At 46.0% G+C, this 20,089-nt stretch overlaps 1 protein-coding gene across 3 annotated transcripts in view, besides 2 other annotated features; it reads left to right on the top strand.

The window, feature by feature from the left end:
• Nucleotides 1-20,089, top strand: part of ATP6V0A4 (ATPase H+ transporting V0 subunit a4) — a 91,903-nt gene that overhangs the window by 46,697 nt on the left and 25,117 nt on the right. For all 3 annotated transcript variants that reach the window (NM_130840.3, NM_020632.3, NM_130841.3), the window contains 6 exons: nucleotides 2,183-2,333; nucleotides 3,936-4,075; nucleotides 6,220-6,377; nucleotides 11,867-11,960; nucleotides 17,246-17,364; nucleotides 18,407-18,623. In NM_130840.3, coding sequence (NP_570855.2) covers nucleotides 2,183-2,333; nucleotides 3,936-4,075; nucleotides 6,220-6,377; nucleotides 11,867-11,960; nucleotides 17,246-17,364; nucleotides 18,407-18,623 — 879 coding nt within the window. The remainder of the gene's footprint in view (nucleotides 1-2,182; nucleotides 2,334-3,935; nucleotides 4,076-6,219; nucleotides 6,378-11,866; nucleotides 11,961-17,245; nucleotides 17,365-18,406; nucleotides 18,624-20,089) is intronic.
• Nucleotides 537-1,339: an enhancer, noted in NCBI's record as "H3K4me1 hESC enhancer chr7:138434906-138435708 (GRCh37/hg19 assembly coordinates)". NCBI's record gives its function as "activates a minimal SCP1, AML or CMV promoter by ChIP-STARR-seq in primed H9 embryonic stem cells {active_cell/tissue: H9 hESC(primed)}" and the evidence as "EXISTENCE:reporter gene assay evidence [ECO:0000049][PMID:30033119]".
• Nucleotides 6,847-7,018: a silencer, noted in NCBI's record as "fragment chr7:138429227-138429398 (GRCh37/hg19 assembly coordinates)". NCBI's record gives its function as "represses an EF-1alpha promoter that drives an FKBP-Casp9 reporter gene in an ReSE screen in HepG2 liver carcinoma cells and phorbol 12-myristate 13-acetate-treated (for megakaryocytic differentiation) K562 erythroleukemia cells {active_cell/tissue: HepG2 | K562(+PMA)}" and the evidence as "EXISTENCE:reporter gene assay evidence [ECO:0000049][PMID:32094911]".

The following is a 20,089-nucleotide window of genomic DNA, read 5'->3' as shown; positions in this document are numbered from 1 at the left end:
AGTGGGGGCTTGTTCTGATCACCGTTATTCACCCCATTGAAGGAGGGACCCCCTCCTGCCCTAAATAGTACAAGATGGCCGAACACATTACCCTGACACTGGACAGACGGGCTTGACAGCTGTTTTTAGTCACTCGTCTTCAGAGCCCAGGGGAGAAGGACACCGCACGCCATGCGGGCCACACAGGGCTTGCCCTCGGGAACTGCGTTTGGGAGCAGAGTGAAGCAGCAGGGCCGGTGGGAGGCAGGCTCTGCAGTGAACGAGGGTGAGGTGACCTTTGGTTCTTGCAGAAGGATGTGATTAGCTTGTTTGAATAATTTCACGGGGTGGGAGGAGTGAAGCCATTAGGTTGAGGAGTGGGTGGCATGCAGCTGGTTTGGCCGATGGGGAACTAGCTGGGTGGCATATCTGGTGACGGCAGATCTCGTGTTATCTGAAGAAACCCTCTCTGAGCAGGCGGCATTGATAGCATGGGAAGGTTGGGGGCGGGAGGAAGGGTTTTTCAGGCGGAGGAATCTGAAGGTAAAGGCCTTGCAGTAGGAATGGGTTAGAAGGTGGGAGCTTTCTTTATCCCCTTCGTACAGATAAAGAAATGGAGGCACAGAAAGTAGAAGTAACCTGACTACAGTCCTATAGCCAGGAGGCAGGGTTTGAATACAGAAACTGTTCCTCAAAACAGTCGATGCCCCCACATCATGGTCCAAAAACCACCTAAATGGGGCACTTAAAAAGCATTTCAACCAGGCTGAGCAGGGCGGGGGTGCGTCCTGGAGGAAGTGATGCATGCGCAGAGCGCTGGGAGGCTGGCCGGGGAGCAGGTGAAGGGAGGTGCGGCCTCCTGAAAGCAGAGGAGGATTGAAGCTGGGACCGTGAGCACTCGTCCAGCTGGTGTCAGATCCCAGTGGGTGTGCATGTGGCACGTGCTGTCGGGTGTGCGGTGGCTGTACGGTTCCTGGACAGGGAGCACTTGGAATTGTTAAGACTCGAGTAGGTAGAATGGATGCAGTGGCTCACGCCTGTAATACCAGCACTTTGGGAGGCTGAGGTGGGAGGATCATTTGAGCCTAGGAGTTCAAGACCAGCCTGTGTAACATAGCACTGTATGGCTGTAGTCCCAGCTACTCAGGAGGCTGTGGCGGGAGGATCACTTGAGCCCAGAAGTTTGAGGCTGTAGTGAGCTATGATCATGTTACTGCACTCCAGCCTGGGACTTCCTGTCTCAGGAAGAAAAAAAAAGAAAAAGAAAAAAGACTTGAGCAAGTGGAGAAGAGAGGTGGCTAGTGTAGACATGGCCAGTTTCCATGGGGAAGCGTGGGGAAGGGTGAAGGTGTGAATGGAGGATTAAGGCATATTGTTAAGTAGTCTTGATCACAAGACTAAAGAGTTTTGATTTCATTCTTTAGGCGATAGGCAGCCTTTGAAGATTTTAAAGCAGGAGAGTAACATGAGTAAAATAGTGCTTTTTGTTTGTTTTATTAAAAGAGTGCTTGAGCAATCTAGGTGTTAGATAAACGGAGAGGGGAGAGGCTGGCAGAGATGCTGAGGCTTGGAGCTAGGGTGATAGCTGTGGGAATCGGAGGAAAGATTCCGAAAGGAGAACTAGCAAGCTTTGCTGGGTGATCGACTGACTGAAACCAGAGAAGGACAAATCCATGATTCCAAGATTCTAGGAATCTGGGAGAATGGAGGCTCTGCTGAAGGGGCAGGGAGTTTGTGGAGGGGACCTGGCTTTGTGGAGAGTTGATGAATTCAGGATTAGACTCCTGGATTTTGTGGGGTTGGTGACACATTGGAGTTTGAAAGTCTAAGCAGGCAATTAGGAAAAAATTGGGGAAGGGCCAGAGCCATTTGGAAGAGGGGGATGAATTGAGAAAGTGGAGAGGAGGAAAGCATAGAGGGCCAGGAGTCATAACATTCGCATTTACAGCAGTAGGAGACGGGAGATTGTCAGAGACTCCAGAGGGACTCAATTCTCTTGACAGCCCTCCCATGAGATGAATTGGATAAGTATTGGGAAGGTATTAACTCTCTACACATAAGGTCGTGAGTCTCAGAGAGATCAAGAGATTGCCCCAAGTTCGCTCAGTGAGGGACGGCAGGAGCTGGGACTGTGACCTTTGTGCTGACACCCAGCCCAAGACTCTTCTCCTTACATCTTTGTCGCTTTTTTTTTTTTTTCCAGGAACTAAGTGGCTCCTCCATGGCCCCCATCATGACCACAGTGCAATCTAAAACAGCCCCTCCCACATTTAACAGGACCAATAAATTCACAGCTGGCTTCCAGAATATTGTTGATGCCTATGGTGTCGGCAGCTACCGGGAGATAAACCCAGGTAAAGATCTGATGAACTGCACGACTGGGTAGCTTGAAAGTGAAAACTGGTAAGATGGACCCCTGAGGTGACCGAGGTGGTGAACTTGTTAAAACTGTGAGGCTTGGGGCTAGGGTAGTAGCTGTGGGAATCAGAGGAATAAGTAGGATAGTAGGGGCAAGTAGTAGGATTCCTAAAATCCTCCTTGGTTTCGTAATACCCTGTGGTGTCGTCTATAAATGCCGATTGGTGAAAGAATTGTTCTTTGTCTTCACCTGTGCACCCTTAAACTGCAACCTCATCAGGCAGCCGAAGTCAGTGTTCATTTCCTTCACCAATACAATGAGGGCCATATCTTGGCATCTTCACAGTCCTGTGGTTATTGTGTGGGAAAGACACCAGTACACAGAACTTAGAAGACTCGATTCTTGGTGTCCTAAGCTGTGGAATCTTGCTACCTTGGTTAATAAAATAAAGGTGTAGGCTGGGTTTGGTGGCTCACGCCTGTAATCCCAGCACTTTGGGAGGCGGAGGAGGTGGATCGCTTGAGGTCAGGAGTTCGAGACCAGCTTGACCAACATGGCAAAACCCTGTTTCTACTAAAAATACAAAAATTAGTAGGGCATGGTGGCAGGCAGCTGTAATCCCAGCTACTCAGGAGGCAGAGGCAGGAGAATCGCTTGAATCCAGGAGGCGGAGATTGCAGTGAGCTGAGACTGCACCACTGCACTCCAGCCTTGGTGACAGAGCGAGATCCTGTCTCAAAAAATAGATAAAATAAAATAAAATGAAAGGATAGACCAGATACCCTTTATCCAAGGAGTGCATGGTGATTGTTCTTCTCCAGCCTGAGGCCCAGTCGAATTTGTGGCCTGTAATGCAGGGGCCTCCTGGGTTGAGGGTCCCTGCGAGCAAACTGCTGGTGGTGTGTGGTGCATGTGAATGGTGGGGAAACAGACAAAAGATGGGTGTGGAGAAGAGTATAGAAAGCACCTAGAGAGAGAAAGCTGATCTTGTGTTCCATCAAACTTTGTGATTTTTTTTTTTTTGACTTTGTGATTTTTGACAAGTCACTTAGCTTCTGTAAGCCTCAGCACATCTGTAAAGTGGGGAATAAGAATGCCTACTCATAGGCTGGGCACAGTGGCTCATGCCCATAATCCCAACACTTTGGGAGGCCGAGGTGGGAGGATTGCTTGAAACCAGGAGTTCGAGACCAGCCCGGGCAATATAGCGAGACCTCATCTCTATAGAAAATTTTAAAAAGTAGTTAGGCATGGTGGCACACATCTGTAGTTCCAGCTACTCAAGAGGCTGAGGTGGGAGGATCACTTGAGCCCAGGAGGTGGAGGTTGCAGTGAGCCATGATTGTGCCACTGCACTCCAGCCTGGGTGACAGAGCGAGACCCACTTTCAAAAAAAATTGAAAAACAGAATGCCTAGGAACAGATGCACTCATTTATGTGGCAGCTAAGCATGTGTCAGGGTAGGGATGGTGAGAAAAGACAACCAGAAAGGCTTAAGGAAACCCGCATGCAAATCGTGGAGCTGTGGCAGGGAATCTGAGGTGGGGGCCCCGAGGCTGTGCTGAGGCCTCAGGCGTTGTGTGTCTCCCCTCCGCAGCCCCCTACACCATCATCACTTTCCCCTTCCTGTTCGCTGTGATGTTTGGAGACTGTGGTCATGGAACCGTGATGCTCCTGGCTGCACTTTGGATGATTCTGAATGAGAGACGCTTGCTCTCCCAGAAGACAGACAATGAGGTGAGTGTCCATTGACCGTCTTGCCCTGATTCATTTTCAGAATATGAAAATCTGTATGTGGTTTTCACCATAGAAATAACACATTTTTATGAAAAATAAAGGAGAGAAGGAAAGTAAAAAAGAGCCAAATTAACCTAAAACTTCTGGCCAAAGGTAATTCCTTTGGATGGTTTGGTGCCGTTCCTTTCAGCATTTTTGGGTTTTTGTTCATGACTTGATAAGGCATCGATTTTTCTTTTTCATTATATATTTTTTCTAACTCTGATGTTTTTGCCTGATTATGAAAGCAATACATAATCACTGTAAAAATTAGAAAAATGCAACCATCTAATGACCGAGAGAAAAATCACCATGAATGCTTTTGGATATCTTTCCAATTTGTTTGTGCTTATCCACCAATTTTTCAAAAATTGGCATCAAGTAATGCATACTATTTGTAGTGTTTTTACTTAAAATATCATGAGTATTTGTTCATGGCAGAAGCAGCCTGGGACCCGTGTTCTTCTGAACACTGAGAAACCCTGAACATCGTTTCCCCACTCTTAAGTTTCTCCACCTTTGCAGAGTGCTGTGAAGGCTGAGACAACTCAGGAGGGTGCATTGGTTCAAAGTTTATTGGCTGGCCAGGCACAGTGGCTCACACCTGTAACCCCACCACTTTGGGAGGCCATGGTGGGTGGGTCATTTGAGATCAGGGGTTCGAGGCCAACGTGGCCAACATGGTGAAACCCTGTCTCTACTAAAAATACAAAAATTAGCCAGGCATGGTGGTGGGCACCTGTAGTCCCAGCTACTCGGGAGGCTGAGGCTGGAGAATTACTTGAACCCGGGAGGTGGAGGTTGCAGTGAGCTGAGATTGCGCCACTTTACTCCAGCCTGGGTGACAGAGAGGGACTCCATCTTAAAAAAAAAAAAAATATCTGCAATGTTTTATTACAGGTTGAATTAATTACAGCTAGGTCAGCGATGTCGAGGTTAGTGAGCAGAATCAACCTGTGACCAATATAGTTTTCCATGCCAAGCTTAAAGATATGATTTTGTATGGTAAACATTTTGAGTTTCAGAGTTACACGTCAGCACTTCTTGGAATGATTGACACACATTATTCAGTATTATGAGAAAGCACTTTATTCTTCTCAGCAGACATAGTCAGACAGGGAATCAACTTTACAATGACAAGACGCAAAATGAGTATATATCTGACTTGTCATAAATATAGCAGCCATGGGAGGCCAGTTCAGTGCTTATTTCCTGGAAGCACCTGAGACAACAGCCACCTGCTTTCAAGTCCCTTCCTAAGCAGATGAGGCCTTGCTTGCACTTCAGTTTATTTTCTAATGCAGGTGCAATGGAAGAATCTGAGGCATGCATATATATATAATATATATTATAAATATATATTATGTTATAAATATATATATTATTTATATTTATAATATATATTTTATATATATATATATATTTTTTTTTTTTTTTTTTTTGAGACAGAGTCTTGCTCTGTCACCCAGGCCGGAGGGCAGTGGGGCAATCTCAGCTCACTGCAACCTCCGCCTCCCGGGTTCAAGTGATTCTCCTGCCTCAGCCTCCTGAGTAACTGCGACTAACGTGCATACCACCACATCTGGCTAATTTTAGTAGAGACGGGGTTTCACCATGTTGGTCAGGCTGGTCTCGAACTCCTGACCCCAGGTGATCTGCCCATGTTGGCCTCCCAAAGTGTTGGGATTACAGGTGTGAGCCATCACACCCGGCCTTTTTTTTTTTTTGAGACACAGGCTGGAGCGCAGTGGTGCAATCTTGGCTCACTGCAGCCTCCAACTCCCAGGTTCAAGTGATTCTCCTGCCTCGGCCTCCCAAGTAGCTGGGATTACAGGCATGCACCACCACGCCCAGCTAATTTTTGCCTATATGGTTTTTGTTTCATGATAACAAATACCAGCCTAGGACTTTTTGGTGCACCTATATGTTCCAAAAACCATGATGTGTGTGCTCTTCCTGTCTGGATGATTGATGTCTGCTGTGGTCATGTGGCTCCCCCAAGGGTGCCTGCACCGGTGATGCTGGAGATATCCTGTAGAACGCTTCCCTCTGGGGTCTGCTTCAGAGCCCACTGACAATCATCCTCTCTGTCTCTCTGAGGCCAGATTTGGAACACCTTCTTCCACGGGCGCTATCTGATCCTACTTATGGGCATCTTCTCCATCTACACGGGTTTGATCTACAATGACTGCTTCTCCAAGTCCTTGAACATCTTTGGCTCTTCTTGGAGTGTCCAACCCATGTTCAGAAACGGCACATGGAAGTGAGTTGACAGACAGAGATGGTGTAGTCGCTGGCCATCCAGGTGGCCTCAGTGACTGTTTTCATGGTTGGGGGAGTCTACACCTAGGTCTACTCAGAGGTGCACTTGAAAATTCAAATAGGCCAGGCTCAGTGGCTCATGCCTGTAATCCCAGTGCTCTGGGAGGCTGAGGCAGGTGGATCACCTGAGGTTAGGAGTTCGAGACCAGCCTGGCCGACATGGTGAAACCTGGTCTCCACTAAAAATACAAAAATTAGCCAGATGTGGTGGCAGGTGCCTGGAATCTCAGCTACTCGGGAGGCTGAGGCAGGAGAATTGCTTGAGCCTGGGAGGCGGAGGTTGCAGTGAGCTGAGATTGCGCCACTGCACTCCAGCCTGGGTGACAGAGTGAGACTCCATCTCCAAAAAAAAAAGAAAAAGAAAAAATAGCCAAGTGTGTTGGCACGCCTTTAGTCCTAGCTACTTGGGAGGCTGAGGCAGGAGGATGGCTTGGGCCAAGGAGGTCAAAGCTGCATGAGCTACAATCACACCATTGCACTCCAGCCTGGGCAACACAGCAAGATGCTGTCTCAAAAGCAAATGAGAGGCTGGGCACGGTGGCTTACGCCTGTAATCTCAACACTTTGGGAGGCCGAGGCGGGAGGATCACTTGAGTTCAGGAGTTCGAGACCAGCCTGGCCAACATGGTGAAACCCCATCTCTGCTAAAAATACAAAAATTAGCTGGGCATGGTGGCACATGCCTGTAATCCCAGCTACTAAGGAGGCCAAGGCACGAGAACTGCTTGAATCCAGGAGGTGGAGGTTGCAGCGAGCCGAGATCACACCATTGCACTCCAGCCTGGGCAACAGAGCAAGACTCCAACTGAAAAAAAAAAAAAAAAAGCAGATGAGGAAATGGTTGGTTTTGTAATGCTGTCTCCCTGTATTTGTCCTGTGGCTGACAGAGTTGGGGGCAGGGGACACCTGGTAAGGATATGTGGGTACTGTAGAATAGAGAGACCTGGAAGCTCTCTAAATCCCCACAGTCCACCCTTCCCCTATGCATTCTACAGTGATTTTATGCAGTTAATCAGACAAGCAGACTTCAGAATGGAAACATAACCTTTTAGGAATGGAGACTTTTATGGGGAGAAAGATTTTAGAGTTTGAGAGGTAGGTCCATTTAATGAACTGGGGGAGAACAGGGGACTCTGGAGGAGAGGGGACTGTGAAGTGAACAAATAGAAATTGCGACAGCCTCTTGATTTTGGGGGTGATCTTAGGCTACGTGCATCACGTACCTGAGATTCCCACAGTAGCGTGAGGGCTAATTTGTAAAACCTACATATCAATGGTGACGTTTCCTAACATCTGTCTCTGCCCATCTCCTTTGGGTCAGCTTAAGATTTCCCTGTCTCATTCTGGAACTTTCCTTTGAACAAATGAGAAAAGAGGACCAAAGTGAAGACTGAGCTAGGTAAACATGTTCACAATCTCTTTTCCCATTCTTCCTCTCCCAAGGAAGGGACTTCACGGGTCTTACTGGCTCACCAAAATCTGTGGTGAACGTCATAAATGGGGGACAGAATGAACAATCAATTTCATCCAAGAGTTTTTCAGTTAGAAAAGATTCAATCCTGGGTTTATTTATTTTTTTTCTTTTTCTTTTTCTTTTTTTTTTTTTGAGATGGAGTCTTGCTCTGTCACCCAGGCTAGAGTACAGTGGCACAATCTCAGCTCACTGCAACCTCCACCTCCCGGGTTCAAGCGATTCTCCTGCCTCAGCCTCCTGAGTAGCTGGGACTACAGGCACACACCACCACACCCAGCTAAGTTTTGTATTTTTAGGAGAGGTGGGGTTTCACCATGTTGGCCAGGCTGGTCTCAAACTCCTGGCCTGAATTGATCCACCTGCCTCAGCCTCCCAAAGTGCTAGGATTACAGGCATGAGCCACACGCCCGGCCCAATCCTGGGTTTCTTTTGACAAAGCTTTCCTGAGGGCATTCAAAGGGCTTGATGTTGGCACAGAGAGGCTCCAAGAGACTGTAGAAATATTTAGTGTGGGGCAAGGAGATTCTAACGCAGTCTCTTCTTGTTTCTCTGCTAGGCCTAAGTTCCCTGAAGTAGAGATGGGATTCCCCACCTTAAATATAGAAAAACAAAAATATAGAAAAATGAAGGATAAAACGTTTTCTGGAATGACATACAGACAGCTATATCTGTGATTTTTTTTTTTTTTTGCTTTGCAATTAGTATTCTAAAGAGATGCCCAAAAGAACAAAACTTTCATAAATTTAAAAACAAATTAGGTTGAGCACGGTGGCTCACACCTGTGATCCCAGAACTTTGGGAGGCCAAAGTGGGAGGATTGCTTGAGCCCAGGAATTCAAGACCAGCCTGGGCAATATAGGGAGACCCTGTCTCTACATAAAATGAAAAAAAAAAAAAAAATTAGCTGGGCAGTGGCACATGCCTGTGCTTCCAGCTACTTGGGAGGCTGAGACAGGAAGATCATTTGAGCCTGGGAGGTTGAGGCTGCAATGAACCGTGATGGCACTGTTGCACCCCAGCCTTGGCAATAGAGCAAGACCCCGTCTCAAACAAACAAACAAACAAACAAACACATTCATTCTTACACTTAGTTCTGCTCTTTAGATTTAAACTCATAAGTATAGAGATGAGTTTTATTTTTTTATTTATTTATTTTTTATTTTGAGGTGGAGTCTCGTTCTGTGGCCCAAGCTGGAGTGCAATGGTGCGATTTTGGCTCACTGCAACGTCTGCCTCCCGGGTTCTAGCGATTCTCCTGCCTCAGCCTCCCAAGTAGCTGGGATTACAGGCGTGTGCCACTACACCCAGTGAATTTTTATATTTTTAGTAGAGACGGGGTTTCACCATGTTGGCCAGGCTGGTCTTGAACTCCTGACCTCAGGTGATCCACCTGCCTCGGCCTCCCAAAGTGATGGGATTACAGGTGTGAGCCACCGTGCCCGGCCGAGATGAGTTTTGAAACTTGTTCAATCTGCATAATTTCGCCAGCCTACCAACATGAAATTCCATTTCCCATAGAGTATGATTGTGAAAGGCCCGAATTAACTGTCTTGTTACCACTCTGCAGACATGGGTATGAATGCTGTTCTCTTATGCACCTGCAAATGTCTTCTTCCCCAATTCAAGACTCTTTGGTCTTGAATTGGAGCAATGCTCAGCCATATGTGAAGGGTCAGGAGTATAAGGCAGAACCTCATTATCACTGTGGCAGAAGAAAACGACAGCTGAAGTACACAGTGAGCTGATTCTGGTCACCAGCTGCGACCTGGGTCTTGGACCTGCTTCCTTGATGGTTGAAAGACCACTGAAAACATTCCTGTAGTCACTGGAGTTGGGCGTATTGACTCAACAAGGGAAATGGTGCATCATTGGGAAAACCATCTCTATTAAGAGGGTATTAGAAAGGGCTTAGAGGATTTAGCCTTTGTTAGGAGGCGGGGATGTTGGGTCATTTTTGTGGTTTGGACCGTGTCCTTCTTTTTGCCTGTATCGAGGTATGATTGTGGAATGATCTTGTTTTTTCTCACTCTATCATAGTCGCCAGGTGGCCTTGCCTGATGTTGCTGTTCTATGAAGTTGCTTATGCTCAGCAGGAGACACGATGGCTTAGCTATGGGTGCCAGGCCAGTTCCTTCCTGTCAGGGGTGACTTTTCCCTTTATGAACACACAAACACTTCTCTGCTATGGAAATCCAGCCATTTGCACTGAGTCATGCCATTAGGATGGGGGTCACGTCTGGGCAAGCGAGTCACGGTCAGCTGCTGCCACTGCACATTGAGGGCCAGGACAGTAGGCCAGGCTTCCCGATTCCCTCAGCTGCTACCTAAGGCCCTCAGCACCTCACTGCAGAAGGGAGGGAGTGTATTTCTGGGCAGCCTGTCAAGACTGTCTGCTGTCTGCTCTTCACATTTCATTATTTTTTAATTTAATTTAATTTATTTTTTGTAGACGGAGTCTTGCTCTGTTGCCCAGGCTGGAGTGCAGTGGTGCAATCTTGGCTCACTGCAACCTCCGCCTCCTGGTTTCAAGTAATTCTTCTGCCACAGCCTCCTGAGTAGCTGGGATTACAGTCATGTGGCACCACGCCCAACTAATTTTTGTATTTTTAGTAGAGATGGGGTTTCACCATTGTTGGCCAGGCTGGTCTTGAACTCCTGACCTCAAGTGATTCACCCACCTCAGCCTCCCAAAGTGCTGGGATTACAAGCATGAGCCACCGTACCAGGCCTGTTCCTCATCATTTCAAATGCTCATTCCTTGGGCCCTTCCACAGATGCAGTTCTTAAAAAAAAATCAACTCAACATTCTCATCCCCTTAAGGCTTGCAGAGACAGAGTAAGAAATTTCTGGGCCGGGCATCGTGGCTCACACCAAATCCCAGCACTTTGGGAGGCCGAGGCAGGCGGATCACTTGAGGTCAGGAGTTCGAGACCAGCCTGACCAACATGGTGAAACCCCATCTCTACTAAAAATACAAAAATTAGTCGGGCATGGTGCCACATGCCTGTAATCCCAGCTGCTCGGGAGCCTGAGGCAGGAGAATTGCTTGAACCTGGGGTTGGGGGGTGGGGGTGGCGGAGGTTGCAGTGAGCCAAGATCGTGCCATTGCACTCTAGCCTGGGCAACAAGAATGAAACGCAGTCTCCAAAAAAAAAAAAAAAAAAGAAATTTCTTCCCATTGACATCCATTCTTCTGGGTGAAAAGGGGACACAGATTTAAAGACATACAATGGGCTACATGTTTTTAGAGTTAAGTTTCATAGCAGTTGAGGTGTATATGTGAAAAAACAATCCATCCTTCAGAAGCAGCCCCAGTGTTCCCTGGGGAGACTTCCCAAGCATGTCCCTGGGCTGGGGTTTCTTTCCTGTGTGCTCCCAGCATCCCTGCTTTCTACCTCATTTCTGATGTGGTACAAATCCTGATCTCCCTTCCTTTTCCTTCCCTTTCCCCTTCTGTCCCCTCTCCCCCTTCTCCCTTTTTTTTTTTTTTCCTTTCAACAGAGTCTCACTCTGTTGCCCAGGCTGGAGTGCAGTGGTACAATCATGGCTCACTGCAGCCTTGACCTCCCAGGCTCAAGGCAGTCCTCCTGCCTCAGCCTCCCAAGTAGCTGGAACTAAAGGCATGTGCCACCACAACCAGCTGGTCTCAAACTCCTGGACTTAAGGGATCCTCCCACCTCAGGCTCCCAAAGTGCTGGGATTATGAATGTAAGCCACTGCTCCCGGCCCTGAGTTTCTTTACTATAGCACATCAGGCTGAGATCTCTTTGCAAACTCAGATTGTAGCCTCAGTGTTTAGGACAATACTTGATGTGTAGTAGATATTGAACCAACCAAAGTGATGAATTGCACCAGTAGTTGGACTTTGATGGGCAAGTTCGTGACTGGTGGTATTATAGTATCTTTTCTGCCCCGGTTGATCATTGTTTGTTTTTCTCCTTTTCTCCCTCTAAAGTACTCATGTAATGGAGGAAAGTCTATATCTGCAGCTGGACCCAGCCATACCAGGAGTGTATTTTGGAAATCCATACCCGTTTGGGATTGATCCGGTAATAATGTCTTCTTGGGTTAAATATTTCTTATGTGAACTATCTTGAGGAGACCTCTGGAGAGAGAAGAAAAGGCCAACAAAGCCTGTCAAATCAACAAACTTGTGTTGAGATAAAATAACTTCTGCTGACGTTTTTGTGACACATAGAGCCAGAGTCAAGTAAAAGTTCTGTCTACACCTTCTACCCAGCCCCATTTTCCATACAGTCCCCCAAACGTCTGCCTCTTTCTCCATCAATCATATCCCTGGTGGTTAATAACTGCTTCTTTAAAAGGCACTTGGTTGCCTGGGGAGTATGCATATTACATGAGCTATTTAGCGTCCTAATCAAGTTTAAGTTCCCTGCTTTGTATTTTCTTGCAGTGGGAAACATTTCCCTTTTTTCTAAAAAAGTGTGGATTTACTTTTATGTTTGCTTTGTTTTACTGCATAGAATTGACGCTTTTTAAAAAAGGTATTTGCTTCATTTTATGTTTGTTATATCTATCTCAGTCAGCTAGATTTGAGCTAAGCAAAACGATACTTCCTCGCAGCCTGTAGATATAAAGCGGTTTTGAGGAGATACAACACATGCCCGTTCATGTAAAGCTGTTCATTTCTATTGGCCCAGTGCATGCTGCCACCAGGTGGCGGCCTTGTGCTCCAAATGAGCGTGAGTAGTCTGAAATTGAACCTGGCAAATGCTGTCCATGTTTCTTCTAAGCTCTTTCTTTATGGGAGAGAACCTGAGACCTCCGTTTTCGTTGCTGACAATTAGGAGTAAATAGTACTAGCCCTAAAACTGGTTTCCAGTCTCTCCCATCTTACAGGTCACCTCCTCTTAAGTTTTCCTGTGTCATTCCGCTATCGCCCGCCTCCCTGCCCTTATAAAAACATGAATTTTGCCCAGGATTTGTTTATACTTGCCACCCAGGGACACTTGCATTCTAAGTTTTATCAAAAGTGGTAAAGTCCTTGAAGGCTGGTGTGTAAGTTGCAAAGTGCTAAAAACTAATTTGAATTTTTGTGGCCTGCAAGACGTTGTCCTTGGTCAAAGGAATTTCATGTTTAGTAAGCAGGTGGAGAAGGAATCTAGACGGGGATGATCTTAGGGTCTGGTTGATCTTCCTTTGTTTGGAATCTCATTGCTCCAATGGTCTCGTCTCTCCCCTCCACAGCCCACAGTTAATTCATCAGCAAATCCTGCCTGTCCATTTCTGCTCCTCAGACAGAGTGGAGCTACGGTATTTCACATTGCAGAACTGAGTGATCCTGAGTTTCTACTCTGATGCAATTTTGTCATCTGCCCACAAGTTAGAAAAGAAAGAAAATATGTCAGGGTGAAAGAGAATGTGGGATATTGAAAATAATGAAATCTGTTCCTAGTAACATTTAGAATTTTGAAAATTTCTGGTCTTTCTATCCTAAAATAATACATATATATGATTTAAAAAAATCTATACCACACAAAATATTATATAAAGAAAAGCAGGAGTTGGCCAGATGTGGTGGCTCATGCCTGTAATCCCAGCACTTTGGGAGGTTGAGGCGGGTGGATCACTTGAGGTCAGGAGTTCGAGACCAGCCTGGCCAACATGGTGAAACCTTGTCTCCACTAAAAATACAGAAATTAGCTGGGCATGGTGGCACACACCAGTAGTCCCAGCTACTTGGGAGGCTGAGGCAGGAGAATTGCTTTAACCTGGGAGGTGGAGGTTGCAGTGAGCTGAGATCATGCCACTGCACTCCAGCCTAGGCAACCAGAGTGAGAGCCCATCTCAAAAAAAAAAAAAAAGTAAAAATACCAAAATTAGCCAGGCATGGTAGCATATGCTTGTGATCCCAGCTACTCGGGAGGCTGAGGCAGGAGAAGTACTTGAATCTGGGAAGCAGAGGTTGCAGTAAGCTGAGATCACACCACTGCACTCCAGCTTGGGTGATACAGAGAGACTCTTCTCAAAAAAAAAAAAAAAAAAAAAGAAAAAGAAAAGCGGGAGTTGCCTTTCCTACCTCTCCAGTTCCTGCAGTCCTGTTCCTCAGAGATAACCACTTTAACAGAACACGTCTGTATTAGTCCCTTTTCATGCTGGTGATAAAGACATCCCTGAGACTGGGTAATTTATAAAGAAAAAGATTGTGTGGGGAGGCCACACAATGATGGTGGAAAGTGAAAGGCACATCTTACATGGCGGCAGGCAAGAGAGAGAATGAGAGCCAGGTGAAAGGGGTTTCCCCTTATAAAACCATCAGATCTCATGAGACTTATGCACTCCCATGAGAACAGTATGGAGGAAACCACCCCCATGATTCAATGATCTCCCACCAGCTTCCTCCCACAGCACGTGGAAATTATGGGAATACAATTCAAGATGAAATTTGGGTGGGACACAACCAAACCATATCAATGTCTGTGCCTATGTTAGTTTGTATCATATATATATATTAATAAGGGCTTACTTTTTACATAACACAAATTTCTACAGTGCATTTACTGACTGCGTTTGGCATCTATTTGTGAATCAAATCACAAAATATTTGGCCTTCATCATAGCCTGGGCTCTTAACGCAGGAATCAGATTGCCTGTGTTTAAATCTTTGCTTTTCTATTTACTTGCTCTGTGAGTTTGAGCACGTTAACATCTCTATGTCTGTTTCTTCACCTATAAAACGCATATAATAACAGCCCTAGGCCGGGCGCGATGGCTCACACCTGTAATCCCAGCACTTTGGGAGGCCAAGGCATGCGGATCATTTGAGGTCAGGAGTTTGACACCAGCCTGGCCAACATGGTGAAACCCCATCTCTACTAAAAATACAAAATTAGCTGGGCATAGTGGTGGGTGCCTGTAATCCCAGCTACTTGGGAGGCTGAGGCAGGAGAATCGCTTGAACCCGGGAGGCAGAGGTTGTAGTGAGCCGAGATTGCACCATTGCACCCCAGCCTGAGCAACAGAGCGAGACTCTGTCTCAAAAAAATAAAAATAAAAATAAAAAAAACAGCAGCCCTAACTCCTAGGATTGCTTGGCAAATGAAATTATGTTTACATGTAAAACTGCCAGAACAGAGTCTTATGCACAAACGTGGTAAATGCTCCTTGAATATTAGTTCCTCTTATGTTATTTCTTCCTAGGTATGTAAGTAACTTAATCTTCCTGAGGTTATGATAAATTACCTTATCTGTAAAATGAGAATAACTATATCTCATAGAGTTTTCAGTAGAACTAAATGAGATAAACACATCTAAATTGCTTAGTATGTACTTGGTACTTAACTATTAACATTTTAAAATTTTCTTTTTATTTATTTATTTATTTAGAGACAGAGTCTTGCTCTCTTGCCCAGGCTGTAATGTAGTGGCATGATCATGGCTCAATGCAGCCTCGACCTCCTGGGCCTCAATCTCCCTGCTTCAGCCTTCCAAGCAGCTGGGACTACAGGCACGTGCCATGCCATGCTGGGCTAATTTTTGTTTGTTTGTTTGTTTGTTTTGAGATGGAGTTTCACTTTTGTTGCCCAGGCTGGAGTGCAATTGTGCGATCTCGGCTCGCCACAGCCTCCACCTCCTGGGTTCAAGTGATTCTTCTGCCTCTGCCTCCTGAGTAGCTGGGATTACAGGCATAAGCCACCATGCCATGCTGGGCTAATTTTTTAAAAAAGCTTTTGTAGAGACGGGGTCTCACTTTGTTACCAGCCTCCCAAAATGGTAGGATTACAAGCGTGAGCCACTGCACCTGGCCAACATTTTTAATGTGTCAGATTTGGCTGGGTCTAAAGTGTACTAGCAGACCCGCCCTCACTGCATTGAGTGTGCCTGTGGGAACTGTCCAAACAGGTGAGCAAGGGGAATGCCGAGGGCTGGGGCAGGCTTGGTGCCACTTAGATGCCAAAGCCCATGTGAGGGTAGAGGAGGCATCTCTGGGGTCTGGGCACCTGTTATTGAAGTCCCTTCTCCCCGCTTCCCAGCAGCCGGCTCCTCAGTGGGTGCCCCTCTGGCCTGGCTCAGGACATTGCAAAGGAAGGATCAGTGCAAATTAGCACCTGACTGTGTGAGCACGTGTGTGTGTGTGATGGAGGGAGCGAGATGATTGTGTCTGAGGTTGTGTCTGGTTGGATGTTGGCCCCTTAACAGAAGCAAAGAAGTTTGGAGGAGGAAGTCATTTAGCAGAAAAGGTGAGAAAGCCATTGTGCCCTTGTCGCCTTTGACATGTCCCAGAGCAAACCTGAAAACAATTTGGGATGTACCTCAAGTACAGGTGGGGACAGGGGAAGGAGCAAGGACTTGGAATCCTTTCCACAGAGTGGGAGTGGAGACCATGGGGCTGCCGAGATTTAAATGGGGAAGATGAATATTAGTGACTCTGGTCCTTAGCTAGTGTGAGACCCTAACTAACCCCTCCACCCACCAGCCCCCTGCACGACCACCCAGTGTGCTTTTCCTCATGTCAGTATCATCGATATCATTTGGGGCAGGACAGGTACACATGATCCCCACCTGGCAGTGCTGTTTAAAATGGGCCATGTAGAAGGCAGGGACTGTGTCTTACGCATCGTGCTTGCAAAGATTGGCTACAGGAACGGCTTCTTGAGAAAGGTCTGGGGAAATGCTTTGTAATGCGAAGCACTACAGACTTTCAGAGTAAGAGGTGGTGTTATTAAAAAGGATTGGATACATTCATGGGCCAATGAGCTATAGGCCATGATTAAGGAAACTGAGGCAAGTTTGAGATCTTGCCGTAATGGCTCAGATTAGCTTTCCTCTTTTTTTTTTTTTTTTTTTTTTGAGACAGAGTCTTGCTCTTTCGCCCAGGCTGGAGTACAATGGTGCGATCTCAGCTCACTGCAACCTCCACCTTCCAGGTTCAAGCGGTTCTCCTGCCTCAGCCTCCTGAGTAGTTGGGATTACAGGCACCCGCCACCATGCCCAGCTAATTTTTGTATTTTGGTGTAGAGACAGGGTTTCGCCAGGTTGACCAGACTGGTCTCGAACTCCTGAGCTCAAGTGATACACCTGCCTCGGCCTCCCAGATTATCTTTTCACGTAGGATTTTTCTCCCCTGTTTCCTTCCAGCAATTTGATAATAGCACTAATGATCCTGTTACTTTTGTCATTAAAGTTGCATTTATAAAGGGTTTCATCCTTTTTTCCTTTTTGGACTCTAAAATGTATGCATTGAGCTGGACTGAAATATGAAAGTGCAGTTCCCAGAGCGGTTTGCTTAGGGAAAGTTGTGCTGTAGCCCTCAACTCCAGTAGAACTTCTAAGACTCTCTCTCACTTGGTTTTTTGTCCCATTTCCCATCCAGATTTGGAACTTGGCTTCAAACAAACTCACATTTCTGAACTCGTATAAAATGAAGATGTCGGTGATCCTGGGAATTGTCCAGATGGTTTTCGGTGTCATCCTCAGCCTTTTCAATCACATGTAAGTTTCTTGATGCACTCTCTGCCTGCTCTGTCTGATCACACTGATGATGAATGGTGACAGAGCCACTGGTTTGGGAACTGCATCTCTCTGTGCAAGTTTTCTTCCTATGAGGGGTACTTCCCTGGGCATCTGGGCTTGAGCCAAGACAAGCTGGTTGGCTGGAAATGGCAGCACCTCCGTTTCTCCTGAGCAGAGTCTCTCCAAGGTAAGTGCTCCTCTGGCCCCAGAAATATTTGAGGGTTCAAAAAAAGACTGGAGGCCAGGTGCGGTGTCTCACACCTGTAATCCCAGCGCTTTGGAAGGCCGACAGGTGGATCACCTGAGGTCAGGAGTTCAAGACCAGCCTGGCCAACATGGTGAAAGCCCATCTCTACTAAAAATACAAAAATTAGCCAGGCATGGTGTCGGGCACCTGTAATCCCAGCTACTTAGGAGGCTGGGGCAGGGGAATCCCTTGGACCTGGAGGCAGAGGTGGCAGTGAGCCAAGATTGTATCGCTGCACTCCAGCCTGGGTGACAGAGTAAGACTCCATCTCAAAAAAAAAAAAAAAAAAAAAAAAGAGAAACCATTCTTAACTTCCAGGCTGTACAGAATCAGATGATAGTCTCCATTGGCCTGTGGGCCACACTTTGCAGACCCCTATCTTAGAGCATTCTTAGGAAAAAGCTTCCAGGTCCCCATTATATATCCTCTTGCCTTTAAATGTGCAACTCTGAGCTAGGTCTGCATGCGAAGCTGTAGTCAGATCACCACCCTCTCTGTGTGGGCATGACCTTTGCTTTAGACGTTACTTCTAGACCGTGGTTCTCTCTGACTCTTTTGTGCAAAAGCACTTTCCAGTATTTCCTTTCAATTTTCTTTTCTATGCATCCATACAGGATTGCTGTTTGCTGGGGGGGTGGGGGGTGCCGTTGTTTGCCAGTAGTGCAAAAAAAAAAAAGATAGAACATTTTGTGCTTTTGTGCTTTGAGAGAATAATTAAGTCCTAACGTTCCCTTGATGTTCTATCTTGTGTATGTGTGTGTCTTCCACCCCCAGATACTTCAGAAGAACTCTCAACATCATTCTGCAATTTATCCCTGAGATGATTTTTATCCTGTGTCTGTTTGGATACCTGGTTTTCATGATCATTTTCAAATGGTGCTGCTTTGACGTCCATGTATCTCAGCACGCCCCCAGCATCCTCATCCACTTCATCAACATGTTTCTGTTTAACTACAGTGACTCTTCCAACGCACCCCTCTACAAACATCAGGTATTTCTGCTATTTTTTTTTTTTTACTCTTCTTTTATTTACTTGATTATGTCAAATTTCTCTCCTACTCTTTTTTTTTTTTTGAGAAAGAGTCTTGCTCTGTCACCCAGGCTGGAGTGCAGTGGCGTGATCTTGACTCACTGCAACCTCCACCTCCTGGGTTAAAACGATTTTCCTGACTCAGCCTCCTGAGTGGCTGGGACTACAGGTGCACGCCACCACGCCTGGCTAATTTTTGTATTTTTAGTAGAGACAGGATTTCACCATGTTGGCCAGGCTGCTCTCGAACTCATGACCTCAAGCAATCTACCTGCTTTGGCCTCGCAAAATGCTGGGATTACAGGTGTGAGCCACCGCACCTGGCCTCTCTCCTACTCTTGAGTGTTGCAAAGAGTAGTTATTTGTAAAACTGAGCCATCTTGGCATCCAGTGGAGGGTGTTACATCCTTTACATCTCAAAAGTGTCTTATTAAATGAAGGTGCAAGCACTGAGGGCTATAGTGTGGCTCCAACCATTCTTGTTGGGGTAATACATGAAAGGGATAATTGCAGAGGGATTGAAGATTGTCTTGTACATTGGCTATGAAGAAAGAAAAAAAAATAACCCTTCAAATTGTTAGGCTTGCAGCTGTAGAATGTTCTATATGGCACCTTAATACTTAATAATCTTTTATTCAAAGAGTGAACTCTAGCTAAATTAACAAGAATAATAATTGAAATAGAATCAGAAGACAAAGCCCTGTATTCACATGGGCAGACAGTTTCTGGAAAAGCACGAATCAAACTCATGCTCTTCTGTGAGCTTCCAAAGCTGGCGGGAGCTGCTGTTTTCATTTTTTGCTCCTCTTCCAGAGACAGTTCATCCCAACAGTTGCACTTTATTGCCACTCTGATTTCTTCCATTTCTTTTAGCCTCATTATCAACTTAATATTTTATTTATTTATTTATTTATTTATTTATTTATTTATTTATTTTTATTTTTGGAGATGGAGTCCCACTCTGTCACCCAGGCTGGAGTGCAGTGGCACGATCTTGGCTCATTGCGACCTCCGCCTCCTGGGTTCAAGTGATTCTCCTGCCTCAGCCTCCCAAGGAGCTGGGATTACAAGCACCTGCCACCAGGCCTGGCTAATTTTTGCATTTTTAGTAGAGACGGGGTTTCACCATGTTGGTCAGGCTGGTCTTGAACTCCTAACCACAGGTAATCCATCCACCTCAGACTCCCAAAGTGCTGGGATTACAGGTGTGAACCACCACACCTGGCCAATATTTTATTTTTAAAAGGTATACAAATCCTATTGGGGCTGGATATAAAAATAACTCAGTGAGTAATTCTTTGATGACACAAATAACAGTAGCTTTTTCCCCCTGGCCTCTCCCAGTGATTAACCTGATCATATTATCTGAGGGTAGATTTTCACTAAAAAAGACCCATTTCTATAGGTCCTGATTCCTCTGGATGAAG

This window comes from Homo sapiens, chromosome 7 (assembly GCF_000001405.40).
Source record: "Homo sapiens chromosome 7, GRCh38.p14 Primary Assembly".
In the NCBI taxonomy this organism is placed as follows: Eukaryota; Metazoa; Chordata; class Mammalia; order Primates; family Hominidae; genus Homo; species Homo sapiens.
This window is presented reverse-complemented; position numbering and strand designations above follow the sequence as displayed.